Genomic DNA, 21,595 nt, shown 5'->3' with positions numbered 1-21,595 from the left:
TTTGTAACTGAGAGGGTCTCCCTAGTGAAAACCTGACTTTCTCAAAGAAGTAGTTCAAATTTCTCCTTACTTTTCTGACAGTAGTGTGCCTCAAGCATATCTTAAGAACATAACAAGTAATAAACCATAAACCAGTATTTTCTTCAAGAAAATATATCAGCGGAGAACAGAAAATGTTATCTTTGAAAAAAATATGCAGTTATAAAAAGTTGTAACTCTTTTTTGTTACAAACTCTCTGTTCAATTGTATGAAGTTGCTCTCTCTCAGAGCAAAGACTTGCCAGTTGGCTTTACTTCTTTCATCCCCTTTCTTCTATATCCACTGCCTCTGTACATTTTTCCCACTTCCCTTGCTCTGACAAAGATATCAAAGGTTACATTAAAGCAAAACCTGAGAAGCTTGAGTTATTGCTGATAAGTTCAACAAGGAGTAAATTTAAATGCAATCTGAGAAGTAGAAGATGGGAAGCATTCCTTCCTGAATCCACATGCTCTGTTAGGCCCTAAGGCACAATAAAATGTGGGACATGAACCCTGGGCCCCGAAGCTGATGACAGTGGAGGTCACAAAGTGATCACCCACTCTAAGAATTCTACACACAGTGATATCTATACGTTTCTCTCTCCGCCAGGCTTCTTGTCTTTACTCTCATCAGTGTTTGGACAGCTCCTGACAGAACAAAGGCTGGGTTTGGTGTTCTGTAATCCCAGCTCTTTGGGAGGCTGTGGGAAGATTGCTTGAGCTCAGGAGTTCAAGACCAGCCTGGGCAACATGGCAAAACCCCGTCTCTACAAAAAATACAAATATTAGCTGGGTATGGTGGTGCACACCTGTAGTCCCAGCTACTCTGGAGGCTGAGGTGGGAAGATCACTTGAGCTCGGCAAGCAGAGGTTGTAGTGAGCTGAGATAGTGCCACTACACAGCCTGGGTGACAGAGTGAGACCCCGTCTCAAAAACAAAAAATACAAAAAAAAAATGCATTGCCTGTGTTGTAGGCAATGATATTTCTAATGTAAGGAAACATGGTCATAGATTTGGGAGATGTAGGTCATTTTCAGGATATTCACCCTTAACCTGAGAACTGGTTTAGCAGATTTTGCTGAGTTGTTTTTAGATGGTTTGTTTGGAATCCTAGTTTAATTATTCATTGTTTTACCTGTGATTTTGGGATAAATATATATGATAAAGTAAAAGTCTTTTTAAAATAAAGTTTTTAATTTTAAGATAGTTTTAGATTACAGAAAAGTTAACAAGCTAGAACTGATAGTTCCCATATACACCATAGCTAGTTTCCCCTACTTTTAACATCTAACACTGGTATGGTACACTTGTTATAATTAGTGAACAACTATTAATATTATTAACTAAAGTTCATGCTTTATTCAGATTTCCTTAGTTTTTATCTGATAAGACTCATCTTGTATATTTCCTGCTGCGGTCCTAGACTCAGCCATTTTTCCAAGGAGCTCTGGTTCCTTTGTTTTGGACAATGGTATTAGAAACCAAGATCTGTGTGCATCTCTTAACTTTTTTTTTTTTTTTTTTTTTTGAGGCAAAGTCTCACTCTGTAGCCCAGGCTGGAGTGCAGTGGTGCAATCTCAGCTCACTGCAAGCTCCTCCTCCCGGGTTCATGCCATTTTCCTGCCTCAGCCCACGGAGTAGCTGGGACTATAGGCACCTGTCACCAGGCCTGGCTAATTTTTTGTATTTTTAGTAGAGACGGGGTTTCACCGTGTTAGCCAGGATGGTCTCGATCTCCTGACCTAGTGATCCGCCCGCCTTGGCCTCCCAGCATCTCTTAACTTTTAACCTGAATCCCTCTATTTAAGATGGATTTCTTGCAGTTAACATAGTTGAGCCTTGCTTTTTATTCTAACTCTGACATATATTTAGGCCACCTGGAGTGTCCTGCACCCTGCCGTCCTCGCCATGACTGTGTCAGGTGACCACAGGAGGTCGATTGTGTGTTCTCCTTGCACTGTTGTAGAGCCACCCACTTTCCTGTGGCCCCTGCGGTACCACATCTGCCTTATAGCTAACAGTTTAAGGTTTACAAGTGTGTATTTCTCTATTGTGACTTAAATTCTCACTTGATACAATTAAAGTAAATGAAGTAAGTATATAGTAGAATGAAATCATAATCTTAAGATATCACTTTGCTTTGTAGGCCTTAGTTAGAGAATATTTCTGGGCACACAGTTTTTATATGTTCCTTGGTTTTTTTACTTGTCAAGTGATCAAAATAATTGTTGAAAAAACAAAGCAAGCTCCAAATCACACATAACCCTCTTACAGATTTTATTTCCTTTCACCATCATCAGATCTGCTCTAGAAACTGCTTTGTGCATGAAATGTGGCTCTGAATGAGAGGAAAACAAACTTTAACACATGTAAATTGCTTTAAGCTGTATAAGATGTGTTCTTTGGTGACACAGGGCATGCCAAAGCCTTGAAAGCCAGCTTTCTCACCCTAGGGACAAATGACAACCCCATCATTCAGTGTCCCTCAACTACAACAAGCCTCTTGATTAGCAGGTCCCTACAATGGAGATTATATTTTAAGAGAGAAGAGCCAATGAGACACATGATTTAATTTGTCTGTAACCCTTTAGATTATTTTCTTGCATTAATTTGGTCTAATTGATATTTCCCCCAATCACCTTTTCTATTAAATGATGAAATAGAGAAGGATCCGGGTGCAGTGACTCATGCCTGTAATCCCAGCACTTTGGGAGGCCGAGGCAGGTGGATCACTTGAGGTCAGGAGTTCGAGACCCGCCTGGCCAACATGGTGAAACCCGTCTCTACTAAAAATACAAAAAAATTAGCCAGGCGTGGTGGTGCATGCCTGTAATCCCAGCTACTCAGGAGGCTGAGGCAGGAGAATCGTTGGAACCTGGAAGGTGGAGGTTGCAGTGAGCCGAGACTGTGCCATTGCACTCCAGCCTGGGCAACAAGAGTGAAACTCCGTCAAAAAAAAAAAAAAAAAAAAGAAGGAAGGAAGTAAAATACTTTTCATGCTTTCATACTGAGCAGTTCTCCCTCTCTCATTGTTTTGACTCTTCTAACATATTCCCTTTTTTCCCTGTATACTTCTTTTAGATTCCAGCTATTAATATTTATTGAGACTCAGAAACCAATACCCCCAAATACTGCACTTTGACATGCTGAACTGAAAAGGGAGCCTCAAGGTCTCCCTGATCTCCCCCATACTGTCTCTCCCAAAGCATTAGATTCTCTAAAGTTCCCTTGTCTGCCTAAAGTCCAGACCTACCAAAGAAGAAAACAATTAACTGCTGGTCACTTCCCTGAGTTCTCATTAACTGAATCCATATCACATCTTTTCTCCTGTTAATCTGCTTTTTGTGAGTTGTTTTTTCAGCAAAGCTTCAAGGGTTTGCTGTACATCTTTTAAGACCAACTCCTTGTTCACTCGACTGATCTTGGAAAGTCACCCATGCAGGCAGCCCAGAGGCCTAGGCCTTTTGTGATATTAGTGGTTCCCTGTCATTCCCTGTGTGGATCCTCAGCACACTAGGAATGGAGCTTGGTTGGAGTGGAGCAAGGTGAGCTGGGTCATAGACACAGCCCTGCCCTGAAGACGTCTTCTCAGGGTGACCACCAGGGCATAGGGCCTGAAGACACTGCCAGAGAATTCCTTTTAAACTCCAGAGAAGAGTCCTAGTCATTATGTTATTGAGGCACACATTTTGTGATGCTTTCTCATCTTTTAACAAATTCATATGAGTTAATTAACTGATTAAATAGAGTTTTCAGTCTTTCTATACAATCTATACCAAAGGATGGCAAACCCCAGCCAAAGGACCAAATCCTCCTGCCGCCTATTATTAAAGTTATATTGGCACCCAGCTGCACCCATTTGTTTATATATTCTGCTTTTCATGTTGCAAGGAATGGCAGAGTTGAGTAATTGTGACAGAGACTGTGTGGCTAAAATATTTATTCCGTGGCCTTTTAAGAAGTTTGCTGACCCTGTTGGAGATTAAGAATCTTTTGTGTTAGAAACTGCATTGAATCTATAGATCACTTTGGGTGATATACACGTTTTAACAATATTAAGTGTTCTAATACAGCACATGAACACAGAATGTCTTTTCATTTATTTGTGTCTTATTCAATTTCTTGTGGCAATGTTTTGTGGTCTCAGTGTACACGCTTTTCATCTCCTTGGTTACATTTATCCCTAAGTATTTTAGTATTTTTATTCTTTTTGATGCTATTGTAAAAATGATTGAGTTCTCAATTTCCTTTTCAAATTGTTCATTGTTAGTATATAGAAATGTAACTGATTTTTGTGTGTTGATTTTGTATTCTACAATTCTGCTGAGTTCATTTATTAGTTCTAATGGGTGTGTGTGTGTGTATGTGTGTAGAATTAGGGTTGTCTACATTTAAAATAATGTAATCCACAAACAGATATAATTTTACTACTTTCCAATTTGGATACCTTTTATTTATTTTTATTTATTTATTTTCTTAATTGCTCTGGCAATTAAGAAAGTACTGGACTTCCAGTACTTTGTTGACAGGAAGTGGCAAGACTAAGCATTCCTCGCCATGTTCCTGATCTTAGAGGGAAAGCTTTCAGTTTTCCATCATTTGGTATGACGTTAGCTCTAGGCTTTTTCATATATAACCTTTAGTATGTTAAGGTAATTTCTTTTTACTCCTACTTTGTTGAGTGTTTTTATCATGAAAGGGTATTGAATTTTGTCGTATACTTTTTTTGCATCAATTGAAATAATGTGGTTTGTCTTTCATTCTGTTAGTGTGGTGTATTATGTTGATTGGTTTACATATGTTGTTCCATCCTTGTAGTTCAAGAATAAATCCCACTTGGTCATGCTGCGTAATTTTTTTAATGTGTTGTTGAATTTGGTTTGCTAGTATTTTGTTAAGGAATTTGCATCAATATTGATTAGGGATATTGGACTATAGTTTTCTTTTTTAAATTATGTCTTTGGTTTTGGTATCACAGTGATATTGACCTCATAAGATGAGTCTGGAAGTATTCCCTTCTTGTCAGTATTTTGGAAGAATTCGAGGTGTATTGGTGGTAATTCTTCTTTAAATGTTTGGTGGAATTCACCCATGAAGCTCTCTGGTCCTGGGCTTTTCTTTGTTGGTAGGTTTTTTATTACTGATTCAATCTCCTTACTAGTATAGTTCTGTTCAGATTTTTTTTCTTCATGATTCAGTTTTGGTAGGTTGCATGTTTCTAGGAATTCATTTATTTCTAGTTTATCCAGTTTATTGGTGTATAATTGTTCTTAGTAGTCTATTTTATTTCTGTGGCATCGATTGTAATGTTTCTTCTTACATTTCTGATTTTTGGTATATGAGTCTTTTCTTCATTAGTCTAGCTAAGGATTTGTTAATTTTGTTGATCTTTTCGAAAGACCAACTCTTACTTTTGTTGATTTTTTTTTTGCTGTTGTTTTTCTAGTCTGTTTATTTTTGTTCTCATCTTTATTATTTCCTTTCTTCTGCTAACTTTAGTTTGTTCTTTTTGTAGTTTCTTGAGGTTAAAGTCAAGTTATTGACTTGAGATCTTTCTTTTTTTTATAATGTAAGCATTTACCACTATAAACTTCTCTCTTAGTACTGTCGTTGCTATGTCCCATAAGTTTTGGTATGTTGTGGTTTTGTTTTCATTTGCTTCAAGATATTTTCTAATTTCCTTTGTGATGTCTTTTTTGACTCATTGGTTGTTCAAGAATGTTAATTTCCACAATTTGTGAATTTTCCACTTTCCTTTTGCTTTTGATTTCTAGTTCCATTCCATTTTGGTCAGAAATTATACTTGGTATGATTTCAGTCTTCTTGAATTTGTTACGGCTTGTTTTGTGGCCTTAGGTATGATCTGTACTGGAGAATCTTTTATATGTACTTGAGAAGAATGTTTATTCTGTTATTACTGGGTAGAGTGTTCTGTATATATCTATTAAGTTAAATTGGTCTGTGATGTTAAGTCCTCTGTTTCCTTATTGATCTTATGTCTGATTGTTTTATCCATTATTGAAGTGCAGTATTGAAATCTCCTACTATTACGGTATTAGTGTTCATTTCTCCCTTCAATTCCATCAATATTTGTTTCATATATTTGGTTACTCTGATGTTAGATGCATATACAATTATAATTGTTATATCTTTCTATATAATTTGGCCCTTTCGTTTTTACATAATATCCTCATTTGTCTCTTATAACAGTTTGTTAATTAAAGTCTATTTTGTCTGATGTAAGTATGGTCATTCTGGCTCTCTTTTTGTTGCCATTTTCATGGTAAATGAAAATGAGCATTTTTCCTCATTCTTTCACTTTCATTGTATGTATGTCTTTACATCTGCAGGTAATTGGATCTTCTTCTTGTTGGTTTTTTTTAAAATCCATTCAGCCACTCTATGTCTTTTGATCAGGGAGTTTAACCCATTTACACTTAAAGTAATTACTGATAGAGCAGACTTACAATTGCCGTTTTGTTCATTGCTTTCAGTATGTCTTGTAATTATTTTGCTGCACTTTTTCTGTCTTGCTGCCTTCCTTTGTATTTTGTTGATTTTTTTTTGTAGGAACTTGCTTTGATTCCTTTCTCATTTTCTTTTTTGTGTTTTTTTACAGGTATTTTCTTTGTAGTTATCATGGGGATTACATAAAATATCTTATAGTTTAAACTGATAAAAACTTCAGTAGCATGCAAAAAAATCTTCTTGTTTACATTTTCCCCTCACCACTTTTATTATCAATGTCACAAATAACTATTTCTTTTTTGAGACAGGGTCTCACTCTGTCACTCAGGCTGGAATGGAGCGGCACAATCACAGGTCACTGCAACCACAACTTCCCTGGGCTCAGGTGATCCTCCCACCCCAGCCTCCCGAGTAGCTTGAACTATAGGCATGGGCCACCATGCCTGGCTAAATTCTGTATTTTTTTTGTGAGACAGGGTTTTACCATGTTGCCCAGGCTGGTTTCAAACTCCTGGGGCTCAATGATTCACCCACCTGGGCCTCTCAAAGTGCTGGAATTATAGGCATAGTACCCAGCCACAAATTACATTTTTTGATCCATTGGTATTCTTTTGTAGTTAGTTTTATGTTTTTATCTTTAAAGTGTATACTAGAATTAAAAGTGATTTATATACCACCATTGCATTATTAAAGGATTTTTTATTTGTCTATATATTTACCTTTACCAGAGAGTTTATTTTTTCTTATGCTGTTGTGTTGCTATCTAGTGTCCTTGAGCTTCTGCTTGAAGGAATGCCTGTAGCATTATGTGTAAGGCAGTTGTAGTAGTGATGAAATCCCTCAGGTTTTGCTTATCTGAAAGGTCTTTATTTCTCTCCTACATTTTTGAAGGATGATTTTTCCAGGTATACAATTCTTGGTTGGGAGTTTTTTCTTTCAGTACTTTGAATATATCATCTTGTTCTCTTCTGGCCCCCAATCTTCTTGCTGAGAAATCTGCTGATAATCTGGGAATTCCCTTGTACATGATAAATTACTTTTCTCTTGCTGCTTTCAAGATACTCTCTTTGTCTTTGATTTTGACAGTTTGATTATAATGTGTCTTGGTGTAGGCCTCTTTGGGCTCATCTTAGTCACCTTTCAGCTTCTTGAATTTGGATTTACATTTCTTCAGATTTGGTAAGTTTCCAGCTATTATTTCCTCAAATTAAGTTCTGTTCCCATTTCTTTCTGTCTCTTCTCCTCTGGAACTCTTATAATACATAATTGGTCCAATTGATGCTGTTTCATTAAGCTTTCTTCACTTTTCTTCTTTTGTTGTTTTTGCTCCTGTGACTCAATAATTTCCAATGACCTATCTTTGAGTTCACTGATTCTTTTTTTCTGCTTGTTCAAATCTGCTGTTGAACCTCATTAGTGAATTTTTTTTTTTTTTAAGACAGAGTTTCACTCTTGTTGCCCAGGCTGGATTGCAGTGGCACCATCTCGGCTCACTGCAACCTTTGCCTCCTGGATTCAAGCAATTCTCCTGCATCAGCTTCCCAAGTAGCTGGGATTACAGGTGGCTGCCACCACGCCCAGCTAAATTTTTTGTATTTTTAGCAGAGACGGGGTTTCACCATGTTGGTCAGGCTTGTCTTGAACTCCTAACCTCAGGTGATCCACCTGCCTCAGCCTTCCAAAATAGTGGGATTACAGGCGTGAGCCACCATGCCTGGCTGAATTTTTTTTTTTTTAATACAGACAAGGCCCTGCCATGTCAGCAGGCTGGAGTGTGGTGGTGTGATAATAGCTCACTCCAGCCTCAAATTCCTGGTTTCAAGCAATCCTACAGCCTCAGTCTCCCAAGTAGCTGGGACATCAGGCATGTGGCACCACACCCAGCTAAGTTTTTTATTTTTTATTTTTATTTTTGTAGAGATAAGGTCTTGCTATGTTACTTGGGCCAGTCTCAAATCCTGGTCTCAAATGATCCTCCACCTTGGCCTCCCAAAGTGCTGAGATTACAAGTGTGAGCCATCATACCTAGGTGTGACTTGTTAATTCAGTTATTCTTCAGCTCCAGAATTTCTGTTGGGTTCTTTTTTACAGTTTCTATTTGATTGCTGATATATTCTCTTTCTGTTCATGCATTGTTTTCCTCATTTTATTTAGTTGCCTGTGACCTCTTATAGCTCACTGAGCTTTTTAAAGACAGTTATTTGAATTCTCTGTCAGGCAATTCACAGATCTTCATTTCTTTTGGGTCAGCTTCTGAAGAATTATTGTGTTTCTTTGCTTGGGCCATTTTTCCTTGTTTTTTTTTGTTTTTTTTTTTCAGATGCCCTTTTGTTTTTTGCTGGCATTTGGGCATCTGAAAAACAGCCATCTCTCTGTCATTACAGACTAGCTTTATACAAGGAAGGCCTTCACCAATCAGCCCAGTTAGAGAATCAGAGAGTCTCTCAAATCTTTTCTGGTAGTGTGTCTTCTCTGGGATTATGCATCTAATTTCCCGATTAAAAAGGCTTGCCAGCTTCTTTTTTAGGAGATTGTAATTTCTTTCTGCCTCTGGTATCTGTCTGCCGTACTGCAAGTTCTCTGGTGCTGCTACAAGCTGACAAGCTCTTAATTATTCTCAGCACTCCCTAGGCATTTAAAGTATATCCTTTAAGTTCACATGCCCTCTAATTTAGAAAAGGCAGAAACTAGTCCCTCAGGCGGTCCTCTGAAAAGACAGAAAGTTAGATGTATACATTCTACTTTCTCTTTCCCTCTCAAGGTGGCATGAGAAAGGTCCCTATGACCCCAGCTTCTCTGATGGCTGTTCTTTATTCACTTTGGTGCAGACTCCCTGGCTCAGTCCTTTCCTTTGTGGGGTCAAATCTGACATTGGGCCTTCTTTGAGGCTCCTTTGAGAGTACCTGCCTTTACCTTGGTACTATCCTCAGAAGTTCTGGCAACTTCTCTTATTTTCCAGTGTTGTTTCTTTTAGAATACATCTTTCTGTCATTTCAGGGGACCTTTGGGAGGTAGAAGAAGTAGATGTACATGCTTGGTCTGCCATCTTAAAATGAAAATCCCTGAGGTTGTTTTCTTAAGAGCCTAATTCCATAACATTTTTTTCAATCTCTGCTCCATTAATCATTTTTATTAATTTGCATTTGGCATGTAATTTGTCTAGTAATCAGCAGAGGATACCTTTTTCAGGGCACTCCTTTTGTTCAGTCGTGGCTGCCATCTGAATGGAGACAGGTAACTCTGCATACATACCATTGTAGGAATCAGATCTGCTTTTCAGAATTCTAAGAATTCAACTCTAATTTGCATTTTCTGTTTCATTAGAGACAGGGTTGGGGACATATTACTACAAAACACAGCTACTACTATGGATCATATCATAAGTTTTCTAGTTTTTGCAAAATAAAATGGTTCTGCTGGCTCTCCTTGCAGCTGGCATGAGAGTCCTAGGGTTTGACAACCCTGCAGTGACCAAAGGTGAGCAATGTGCTAATAGCAGAGCGGGCAGTACTTTACTGCTGGCACTGGAAAACATTTAGCTTCTGAGTGCTAATTTTCTCTGGTCCTGTTACTTTTTTTCCCTTTCCCAACTCAGACACCCTATAATCACTTTTTAAGGCATATTTTTGTGGGGAGCCAACTTCTTTGTATTTGCTAGTTTTAAAATTCTGCCCGTCTCCTCACCCTACCCTCCCCCCACCTTCACTGTTCTTCTCCTTTACTTTGTTTAGGATATAATTTTGTGAGTTTTACTGTAAAAGAAGATTGTTGATGAAGAATCACAATTCTGGTGCATAAAATGTCTTCTTTTTTCATAGACAGGCTCCTTCCACCCCTCTGTTCATTTTGAGTGTTTTTCTTCAAATATGAATAGATTCCTATTTTATCTTATTTTCTTTTATTTAAACAAGAAAAAATGATGAAAATGCTTTTTGTGGTTTTTTTTCTTTCTCAGATTAGTTAGCATAAAGCAGTTCCCAGCCTTGAAACAGAGTGGCTGTATGGAAAATGTAAATAATATCCAAAAAATTGACCTTTTGAAACACGAGGCTATAAATGTTATTTAGGCTTCCAGGCTACAACACAAAAGCTTCCTTAATGATGCTTAACTTGAATTCTGGATCCTGGGTAAGAGAAACCCTAAGAAAGTTGGGGTAGAGGTGGGGAAGGTCTAATATATCCTTTCCTGACCATAGAGACAATATTGGCTCCTTTCTGCTTCTCTTTACACCTCTTCCTTGAAGCAGGTCCCCTGCTGTTGAAGCTGATTCTATCTCTGCTGTGTTGTCTTCCCACCTCACTCACAAGTATTCATTGTTATTTGCCTAGGGGTAGGGGTAGGGGTGGAGGATAGCAAGAAATAACTTGCTAGCAACAGCTAATTAAAGTAATTAACCAATATCTGTGAATGGTTGATGCTCCTTAACCTTCCCACTGATGCTTTCACTTTTAATAGAAAATGTGTATTAAAGCAAATAAACCTATAATTGGTGAAATTTCTGGTAGTTTGGCAAAGTGGGGAGAAAATCAGTATGACAGATTAGAGAAGGTTAGGAAGTAGTTGATGAAGGCTTCCATCTGAGCACTCTGGCCCTGCATAAGTACTTTCCACATATTTGCAGAATGAATGAATACAAAGTGATCACTTTGCCCAGCTTTTTTTTTTTTTTTTCTGAGATGGAGTCTCGCTCTGTCACCCAGGCTGGAGTGCAGTGGCACGATCTCAGCTCACTGAAACCTCCGCCTTCCAAGTGCAAGCAATTCCCCTGCCTCAACCTCCCAAGTAGCTGGGATTACAGATGTCTGCCACCATGCCTGGCTAATTTTTGTATTTCTAGTGGAGATGGGGTTTCCCCAAGTTGTCCAGGCTGGTCTTGAACTCCTGACCTCAAGTGATCCACCCACCTCAGCCTCTCAAAGTGCTGGGATTACAGGCGTGAGCCACTGCACCCAGCCCACTTTGCCCAGCTTCTTATATTCTTGGACTTCAGTTTAAAAAGCCACATTCTCTGAACTGCAGATTGTCTGGCTTTGTCTGTTTACTGGGCAAATGAGCAATCAGGACGAGGTGAGTTTAGGAGCGTGGCAGGGCATATGTAATTCATTTATAGGAATCCCTGTGTTCTTTTTTATATAAGTTTTTCCCCCATATAAAAGTAATTCATGTCCATTAAAGAGTAAAGATAGACTGCCTATAGTGCCACCATCTAAAGAAAACCATTGTGAAGATGCTATATTTTTTGGAAAATAAACTGTAGAGAATTACTCATAAAAGCATGTTGCTATGCAAATGTTTAAAATGGCATCCTGTTTTGATTAATATTGTCTAATCAATACCAACTTTTTTCAATTCATGAGAATTTTGTGAACAGTTCGCATGGAAACCACAGCAGCAAAATCTGGGCAGCCTTGTTCTGTTACCTACTTGTTCTGTTACCTGTTAGCCAGTCCTGGTTCCCAAACGAGAGTTTACACCTTCCAGATGCCTTACATCCAAGGGAAGCATGTCCTTCCTCAGCAGGATATTTTGTTTTTTTCATTCCTGCCAAGGCTCTGAGGAAGAGGAAATGGGTACAGATTTATTAGGAGAGATGGAAAGGGGCCATGACTTTGTCATGTCATGTAGGGCTCTGGCAACTTAAGCCCACACAGACTCTGAAATACATGGAAGATTTATTTTTATCTACTAATTTGTGTACTTCTTGTCTGATATTTCCACTGAAGAGATTGTCTTGTATAAAATTATATCTCAGTACTCTAATGGAATGAAATAACAGTACAGCATAGCCTTTTCTGAATTATTCATGTATTCTTTGGAGATTATATCCAGGTTTTTATTAATTCAGTTAGTTCAGAATTTCAACATAGGGTATCATCTGGTCCATGCTGTATTATCTACTTGTTTTCCTACTCTAGACCCTTAATCAGTATCTTCCAGTGTCATCTTTGGTCATGGCAGTCACATTTACATGAAGGCTGTCTGTCCCTGGTCTATTCTTTGTCTCTTGTTAATACCAGCCACTGCTTAGCCTGTCCTGGGGTTCTGCTGGTTTTCAAGTCTTCTGATTAAATTATTGCTTGTTCTGGCATCATGCTGATTTCCTTCACTATTTCATGCTTCTCCCAGGAGATATCTGCTTGTTATTTATCCCTCATTTCTCCTTTTGGAAATATCACAGTAAGAAATTCATTTAATTTTTTTCAACTGTCCTTTTTCTGTCAATAATTCAATGCAACATTTCTTAAAGGCTGTTCCATCTCTCTCATTGATTTTCTTAATGCCTTTTAATTATTTCTTTTAAAATTCACAACTTTTAATATTTAGTAACTCATGCTGTCACCACAGAGGCAGCTTTATCCTTTGATCACTTAGATTTCTGTGGGTGTTGATTCTGGATCACAAGATGATCTGGATTCGGAGAAGTATCAGTAGGTTGAGCCTATACATCTGAACAGCGGGATTACCAAGGGAAGCAATACCATTGGCTTAATTATACATCTCATATCATTATGTTATAGAGGACTTCTTTATGATGCTTGTGTGAGAAGGAAAAATAATAGCCAGGTTTTAAGTTTTCCATATTATAATGTCTGTGTACTTACCATATATGGAGTCAGCAGCATAAAGTTACAATCATTGAATTAATCTTTATTTATTATCACATCATAAAAGAAAATGCACCAAATGCTATGGGATTAGAGGATTCATGACACCTTATTTTTAAGATACATGTACGTTTCATGTAACTCAAACTGAAGTGCAGCACAGGGACATTGGGCAGAGAGTGGAGTGACAACAAATATTGTATACTAAGATGCGTTTCTAGAAAAGAGTTTGTGGAAGACTTCAGAATAAGCCATTTTTCTATAAAACATTGAGGGTACCCTTACGGTATCAGTTTACAGGAATACCTGGTTTTAAAAAGAATAAAGTTGGCTGGGTGTGGTCGCTCAACACCTGTAATCCCGGCACTTTGGGAGGCCAAGGTGGGTGGATCACCTGAGGTCAGGAGTTTGAGACCAGTCTGACCAACATGGTGAAACCCCCGTCTCTACTAAAAAATACAAAAAAAATTAGTTAGGTGTGATGGTGCACTCGGGAGGCTGAGGCAGGAGAATCACTTGAAACTGGGAGGCAGAGGTTACAGTGAGCCAAGATCGTGCCACTGCACTCCTCTAGCCTGGGCAACAGAATGAAACTCGGTCTCAAAAAAAAAAAAAAAAAAAAAAAAAAAAAAGAATTAAGCAAAGTCAGTAATTACTGAATGTACCACAACAGGGTGGACTCACTCAGTACAACTCATGGGCCTGCTTGGTCTTTGATACTTCACAGGCCAATACTTAGAAATTACCCAAGATTAATATAAATAATCCTAGATTGCTTAGATATCAATTTATTTCCTTGCATATATGGTCTGATGTATCACATCAACATGTACTCTTTCTTGTTTTCAGCACGCACTCCTGGCTTTAAAGTTTATACTTGCATTTGCCATACCTGATAAGCCACGGCATATCCAGATGAAACTAGCCAGACTGGAATTTGAGTCTTTGGAGGCACTCAAGCAGCAGGTGAGAGCAGCTGTCCTGAAAATGTATGTATTGCTTTAGCAAATGACAGGAAAAATAATTCAGAAGAATCAGTCTCAGCATTTTTTTCAGCCTTGAAGTTACCAGTTTAAATGAATACAGAGGACTCCAGTTCAGGATGACATAACAAAACCAAAATCCTAACAATATGAGCAACAAATAGGTTTAAATAACTAAACTAAAGAAACAAAAATATTCAGGCAATGTTAAATAAAGAATAGAGCTAGCATTCAGCAAAAGAACAAGACAGACATCTAAGAATCAACCTGGGGCAGCTCCCCACAGCTTCCAGTTTTGCCATCTACTGAAACATTAAGTGAGGAGAAGTGAATGAATAAAATCCTGAATAATAGCTTTCAGAGAGCGAGACAGAATGAGATCAGGTGTGTAGAAGCAGCAAAATTGCCCTGAAAGGAGAAACTGTGCCTCAGTGACTTCCACATTCTACCAGAGACTACAAAAAAAAAAAAAAAAAGCCATGCTGGAGTTGACCATTTTGGTGATTTTCTGCTTGTAGGAGAGTGGGAGTAGACAGAAGATCCCTAGACACCTGGAGTATCTCTCACTTGTTATCTTTAGTGCTGCATAGGAATTTAAGAAATGAGAGAATCAGTAAGGCATTGCCATCTGAGGGGACAAGCTCTGGGCAGAACCTCCTGGACACATACTCCTTCTTTGGCCTCCAAACCACTATGCATAGAAATATTTCTTCTTACATTTGGGGAGTGGGGAGAAAAAAAGAACGTGAAGAGGACCCACCTAAGATGACCCTTTGATCAAAGCCTGAGGGCTCCAAGGGTAGTGCGCCGGACAGGAGAACCCCACATCAAACCAATACTTGCCCTGATGAGGCAGGGTGACTCCAGAAGAGGACTTGTGATAAGAATGTGGAAAAGAGGATGAACCCAGGCCCACTAGCCATAGCTGTGCTCATGTTTGCCACACAGTAGGTGACAAGACTAAGTTACCTGCATTCCTAGAGGTTGGGCAAGTTCACTTTTGGCATGTGGGCTAGCCAGTGTGTCTATATGGTAAACCGGAACCCAGCATCATGCCCAATAATGAAACTCCAGAGCATTCCCAGCAATGGCAGAAAATCCATCATCATCACTGACAGCTAGCATTCTTCTAGAGGTACTAACCAAAGCAGTTGTATAAGAGGAAGAGATAAGTTCAAGTAGAAGAGGCAAGATTATCATTACTTGAAAATCAGAGGATTAGGCTGGGTGCAGTGGCTCACACCTGTAATCCCAGCACTTTGGGAGGCTGAGGTGGGTAGATCCCTTGAGCCCAGGAGTTTAAGACCAACCTGGGCAACGTGGTGAAATCCCGTCTCTACAAAAAATACAAAAATTAGCCAGGCATGGTGGTGCACGCTTGTAGTAACAGCTACTTGGGAGGCTGAGCTGGGAGAATTGCTTGAGCCTAGAAGGTCAAGGCTGTAATGAGCCATGATCATGCCACTGCACTCCCGCCTGGGTAACAGAGTGAGACCTTGTCTCAAAAAAAAAAAAAGAAAAGAAAATTAGAGGATTATATAGCTAAAAATAAATTATTAAAAATAAAAAAATTTGGTAAGGAAGCAAGTTACAAAGTTTATCTAAAATCGTGTTTCTTTTCACAAGAAATAATCAGTTTGAAAATATTTTTGATGAAAAATTCACATTTACAGAAGAAACCAAAATGTAAAAACTTAGGTGGTAATTTATGGAAACAATATAGATAACTTATAGAACAATTTTTTTTAAACTTTACTGGGATCAAAAGATTCAATCTTGTAAATATCCAATACCAATTCAAATATATCAAAATAAACATCTGAGAATAGCAAGGAAACTTCTGATAAAGAAGAAAAATGGGGACTCTCACTCTTGTCAGATATTAAAATGTATTCTGAATAGTACAATAATTATAATTAAATACATTTTAAATTAGGGAAGAAATGGAAAAATCAGTGGAATAGAGAGCATTGAGTCCATAAATGGGCCCAAATAAAACTGGGGATTTCATTTATGGTAAAAGTGATATTTTATGTCAATGGAAAAAAGAAGGATTATTTGTTACACAGTTTGATGGCAAACAGCTGTTTGGGAAAATTATTATACTTTATTTTAACTCATTCCTTATGAACCTCCCCACCACCACAAAATTCAAGGTTGACAGATTTAAATGTAAAAAATGTAAACCATAAGAAGTCTATTAAAAGTCTGGGTGTATCTTTTAGTGGGAAATGCCTTCCTAATCAAGACACAAAACCCAAAAATCATTAAAAAAAAAAAGATAAAGTAAAATACATGAAAAATGAAAACTTCTGTATGACAAAAAATAAGCAAACTCAAAAGATAAATTGGACAAACTGGAAAAATATTTTCATATATAACAAAGTCAATATCTTTAATTCAAAAAATAATTTCCACAAATCTATAAAAAATGACAGTCCAGTAATGAAAGGAAAGCATATGAAGAGATGCTCAACCTCATTCAAAATGAAAGAAATATAAATTTAAACACCAGTGAAATACCACATTTCGCATGTTCTATTGGATTATGTCATGATAGCCTGTCCTCACTGGATTTGGGAAATGGACATTCTTTTATATATAACTGACAGAAGTGTAAATTGGTTCAGTCTTCCTCGAATTGCAGTTGAATTTAATTTCAATTACTCTCCAACACCAAACAAACCTTACTAGGGTAATGGTTGTATCTGAAAAGAGTACCAAAATTTAGTCATTGAAACATTTTTATTAGCAAAAATCTGGAGATAACTAAATTCCTCAATAGGAGAATGGTTAAGTAAATTATTGTATATCTATACAATAAAATTCCAGTAACCTGCTTTTTTAAAAAAGATCTGTCTATGCTTATGCATGCACATACACACTGCCTACATTTTTGCAGCTATTGAATTTATGACTAAAAGATTTTAGGTGTCAGTTTAAAAATGCGTGAGAGGGCATAAAGCATCTAAAAACTTTATGAGGTATGTAAGAAAAAAAGCTGAATGTACAGCCTTGTCTCTGGAAGAGTTTTAGTTAATCAGATTTCTCCATTGATTGCATTTCTGGTGACATTTTGTAGATGGGGGCAGGCAACTTCCTGGCTGGTGCATACATATCTTAACTCCAGGTCTAGGAAGAATCATGCTTCATGTTACTCAGGATTTCGTGGTATATCTATACAGTAAATTTTATGGTCTGTATATACCATAAAATTCCATGAATTTGCTTTTTTAAAAAAGATATTTTGAAAAAATCACTCAGGATTTCATGTTACTACTTGTTTGTCTAAAAAGGAAAGGATTCTTCTTGAGAGAATGAAATTATACCTCATTCCCTATGAACCTCCCTCACCACCACCAAATTCAACATATTATTAGTATGTCTCATGTTACTAAATACATTTACCTAAAACTCCAAATGCAGGAGTGTTATATTTGCCATTGAGGGTGTCATGGATATGTGTTTACTATGGATATGGCTAAATGACCTCTCAAGTCATCTTAGCTCTTAGATTCCCATATCTTCAGGTACACTTTACCTGACAGTGAGGCAAAGCTCTAATTCCAAATTTATTTATGCTCATCTTCTTTGAGAAATGAAACACTGACCAAAATCCTCTCTCATACAAGTTGAGTATCCTTTATCCAAAGTGCTTAGGACCAGAAGTGTTTTAGATTTTGGATTTTTTTTTTCAGATTTTTGAATAGTTGCATTGTATTTACTGCTGAGCCTTCCTAATGGGAAAATCTGAAATCTGAAATGCTTCAATGACTTTTTTTTTTTTTTTTTTTTTTGCATTCACAAAGTTTCAGGATTTTGGGGTATTTCAGATTTTCAGATTAGGGATGCTCAACCTGTATTACTTAAAAAGAAGAAGAAAAATCTAAAATATGTTATGTCTCTTTGAGATTTTTTTCCCCTGAGGACATAGATCTGATTCTCTGGTTAAAACCACCTTGTAAGAAAAGGTGATTCTGAAGGGACAGATGTCTAACAGGTTCCATTCAGTATACTTATTGAATGCTTTCTAATAGAACGTTCATAGCTTGCCCTGAAGGTGATTTTTAAATTTGTACATGTGCAGCTCTAATGTCTCTGATCCATCAAGTGGGCAGACAGCAATGATGAGTGTTGTCAGGCTCTCTTAGGGCCTTGCAAACCCAGAAGAAGTATTCTCCCTCCCTGTCTCCACTAAATTTTTTTCTTTTAATTATCAATCTGAGAATTAAAGGTTCAGGGTTGGCTGGGTGTGGTGGTTCACGCCTGTAATCCCAGCACTTTGGGAGACCGAGGTGGGTGGATCAGTTGAGGTCAGGAGTTCGAGACCAGCCCAGCCAACATGGTGAAACCCTGTCTCTACTAAAAATACAAAAATTAGCTGGGTATGGTGGCACACACCTGTAATCCCAGCTACTCGGGAGGCTGAGGCACGAGAATCGCTTGAATCTCGAAGGTGGAGGTTGCAGTGAGCCAAGATCACGCCTCTGCACTCCAGGCTGAGTGACAGAGTGAGACTCTGTCTCAAAAAAAAAAAGGTTCAGGGTAAAAGTTGGACCAAAGATATCGTATGTAACAACCGCCTCTCACTCTCTTTTGCTGACTCAAGGCTTTGCTGCATGGTTGACACTGCTACATGGGCCACCCAAGTTTATGCCACCAACCAGGAGAGACAAACATTTTCATCACAATTCCTGTTTAGTCTCACTGCCCAGGAGGTCCTATAAGGTACAAAAGGTTACCTCCTTTTCAGAAACTCAAAAAATTAACTGGCCATGACTTCAGTTCACTTGCTGAACTAGTGCCATTTCTAGGATGGAGAATAGATTTCTCATTTTTCTTTAATCTGACATTTAACTATCTGCTTTGTAACTATGAGTAGCCTCAACTCACTGGGCTCCTCCCACGTAACAAAAGCAGAGAGAGCTTCTGTCAGGTAACCTGGTCAGTTTGTGGGACCAGATCAGAAATTGAGTTATTGAAAACATATTTGGGTGAAGTCTCACTATTAAGTGACCAGATATTGATAGTAAGCTTATCAGTAGAAATTATTACTTATGGATAGTTATTATGTTTAATTTATACCTTAATTGCTACTTTTCAACTCAAGTCTCATTTTATGGGCAAAATATGATTGAGAAATTTGACAGTCCTTAAATAGGGTTGTGCATTTTACATGTAAACCCTTGTGAAAAACACATGTACTTAGACCCTATGCCCTGAAGATTCTTCTTCCCTAAATCGAAGGTGGCGCCCAGGGACTTACATTTTTTTTAAAATGCTCCTGTGTCTCCACCCCACTTTTATCAATCCCCACCCCCCAGCAAAAATAGATTCCCAAGCATGGCCAGGTGAGTGCCAAGAACAAGCAAGTTTGAGGCCACCTTGTGCCACCTGTGGACAAGTCAGGTGGCCTCTTCGCACCTCAGTTTTTTATTTTTATATATTTTTTTTTCATAAAATGAAAGACTGGATTCCCCAGTCTATGGGAAGGCCCAAGAAATCTCCTTTTTAAACCAGCACATCAAGTGATTCTAATTCAGGGTCCTTGGATCCCATTTGGAGACATGCTCTGTGGATTCAGTTATTCTTCTCAGCTTGTGACAGGAGGAGTGGTGGTGGATTGCTGAAATGAATGTGGGAAGGAAATGTACTGAAAACAGATCTTTTTTGGTACAAATAGGAAGCTATGTGTGTTTCTAAATATATAGGCAAATTAGACATACTTGAAGGTGGGAGGCAAACTGAGGAAAATAAAATAGTTTACTTTGCATAGGGCATTTTCAAATGATTAGGCTTTATTTGGCTGAAACCTTTACAAAGAATTGTAGACAGTAAATATCATCCTAGTGATGCCCTTTTATTTCTCTTCAAATTGATTTATTCATCTCTCAGTCATTTTAAGATCCAATTAAAAATAGAAAGGATTCTAATGCAGGAACCATTTGATAACTCCGTGGCCTGGAGCACAAGGACAACATCCACTTAACCTGCTTCTGGGCAGTCAGCCCTCCTGGGAGCCCAGAACACACAGAAGCCAGGGAGCAGGGCTGGCTGCCTAGAGCCTTTGAGAAAGAAAACAGCCTCAGGAATCAGTTAAATGAACAAGAGAAGGACTTTAAGGAGACACTACTAATTATAGCTCTCAGGGGCCTCAAATTAGGTGTAGGACCCTTAACTAGACAGGCCAACTGGGCCAGGCCTTATCAAATAATGTCTTTGTTTTTTAGAGTTAAGTGTATTTAAATTAATTTATGTTAATGGAAAAACCAAACTCTGTAAGATATTTAAAGAGGTTTATTCTAAGCCAATATGAGTGACCATAGTCCCAGGGAACAGTCTCGAGGTCCTGAGAAAGTGCCCAAGGCAGTCACGTTACAGTTTGGTTTCATTATGCATTTTAGGGAGACAGAAGTTACAGAGAAAGACATAAATAAATACATGTGAGGTATACATTGATGCGATGTGAAAGGTGTGGAGGCGGGGGAGGGATGGGCTTACAGGTCATAGGTGGATTCAAATTGGCAATTGGTTGAAAGAGTCAAGCTTTGTCTAAAGACCTGGAGGCAGTAGAAGGAAATGCCTGAGTTAAGATAAAGGGGTTTGTGGAAGCCAAGGTTCTTGTTGGGTAGATGGTAGCACCCTTCAGAGGGGATACATGGTAAATGTTTCTTCAGACCTTAAGAGGTATCAGACTCTTGGTTCATCTCTCCTAGATCCAGGAAAGGACTGGCTGTATTAATGGATATTCTCTACAGACGCAGATTTCCCCCACAAGAGATAGTATTGTGGAACCATTTCAAAATACGTCAAAGAAATATATTGTGGGGTAAAATATTTGATTTCCTTTGGGGTCTGCTATCTGTCATGTGATGCTGTACTGCAGCCAGGTTGCAATTTGTTATCTTACTGCCACAAAGGGTCTGTTTTGACAGTCTAATGATCTCTATTTTAATGTTAATGCTGGTGGTAGTCATTTGTACCTAAACTCCAAAAGGGAGAATGTATAATGAGGCCTGCCAACCTCCCTGTCATGGCTGAGAATTCAGCTTTCCAGGATTCTCTGAGGTCCCTTTGGCCCAGGGGAGGGGGTCCGTTCTGTTAGTTGAGCAGCTTAGGATTTTATTTTTGGTTTATATTTAAGTATTCAGTGTTAAATTAGGTTAAATATTAACCTAATTTAATAGGTTTTTTTCAACATTTCGTAAGAACTTCTGAACTTCTTCCCCCCGCTCCATTTGTGCTCTCAAGTTAAGGTAAATAGAGGCTGGGCACAGTGGCTCATGTCTGTAATCCTAGCACTTTAGGAGACCAAGGCAGACAGATAGCTTGAGACCAGCCTGGGCAACATGGCAAGACCTCATCTCTATTTAAAAAAAAAAAAAAAAAAAAAGTTACAGTAAATACATAAGCATTTTTAATGGAAACTGTAAAATTTTACAGCCTAGAATTAAGGTGCTAAAGTATTTGACTATTGAATAGGTAATCACATATTAATCTGCTAACATCTAGTTCA

At 38.2% G+C, this 21,595-nt stretch overlaps 1 protein-coding gene across 15 annotated transcripts in view; it reads left to right on the top strand.

Annotated features, from left to right (window-relative positions):
* Positions 1–21,595, top strand: part of ANO10 (anoctamin 10) — a 325,747-nt gene that overhangs the window by 244,922 nt on the left and 59,230 nt on the right. For 10 of the 15 annotated variants that reach the window (NM_001346469.2, NM_001346468.2, NM_001204833.3 and 7 more), the window contains one exon: positions 13,946–14,062. The exons of 3 other annotated variants lie outside the window; for them this stretch is intronic. In NM_001346469.2, coding sequence (NP_001333398.1) covers positions 13,946–14,062 — 117 coding nt within the window. Of the gene's footprint in view, positions 1–13,945; positions 14,063–21,595 lie in introns of those variants that run through there. 2 more of the 15 variants (XM_011533885.4, XM_047448429.1) reach the window with 1 other exon arrangement.

The sequence above is a fragment of the Homo sapiens genome, chromosome 3, assembly GCF_000001405.40.
Source record: "Homo sapiens chromosome 3, GRCh38.p14 Primary Assembly".
NCBI classification, from domain to species: Eukaryota; Metazoa; Chordata; class Mammalia; order Primates; family Hominidae; genus Homo; species Homo sapiens.
The sequence above is the reverse complement of the archived record's forward strand: the minus strand, read 5'-3'. Positions and strand labels throughout refer to the sequence as shown.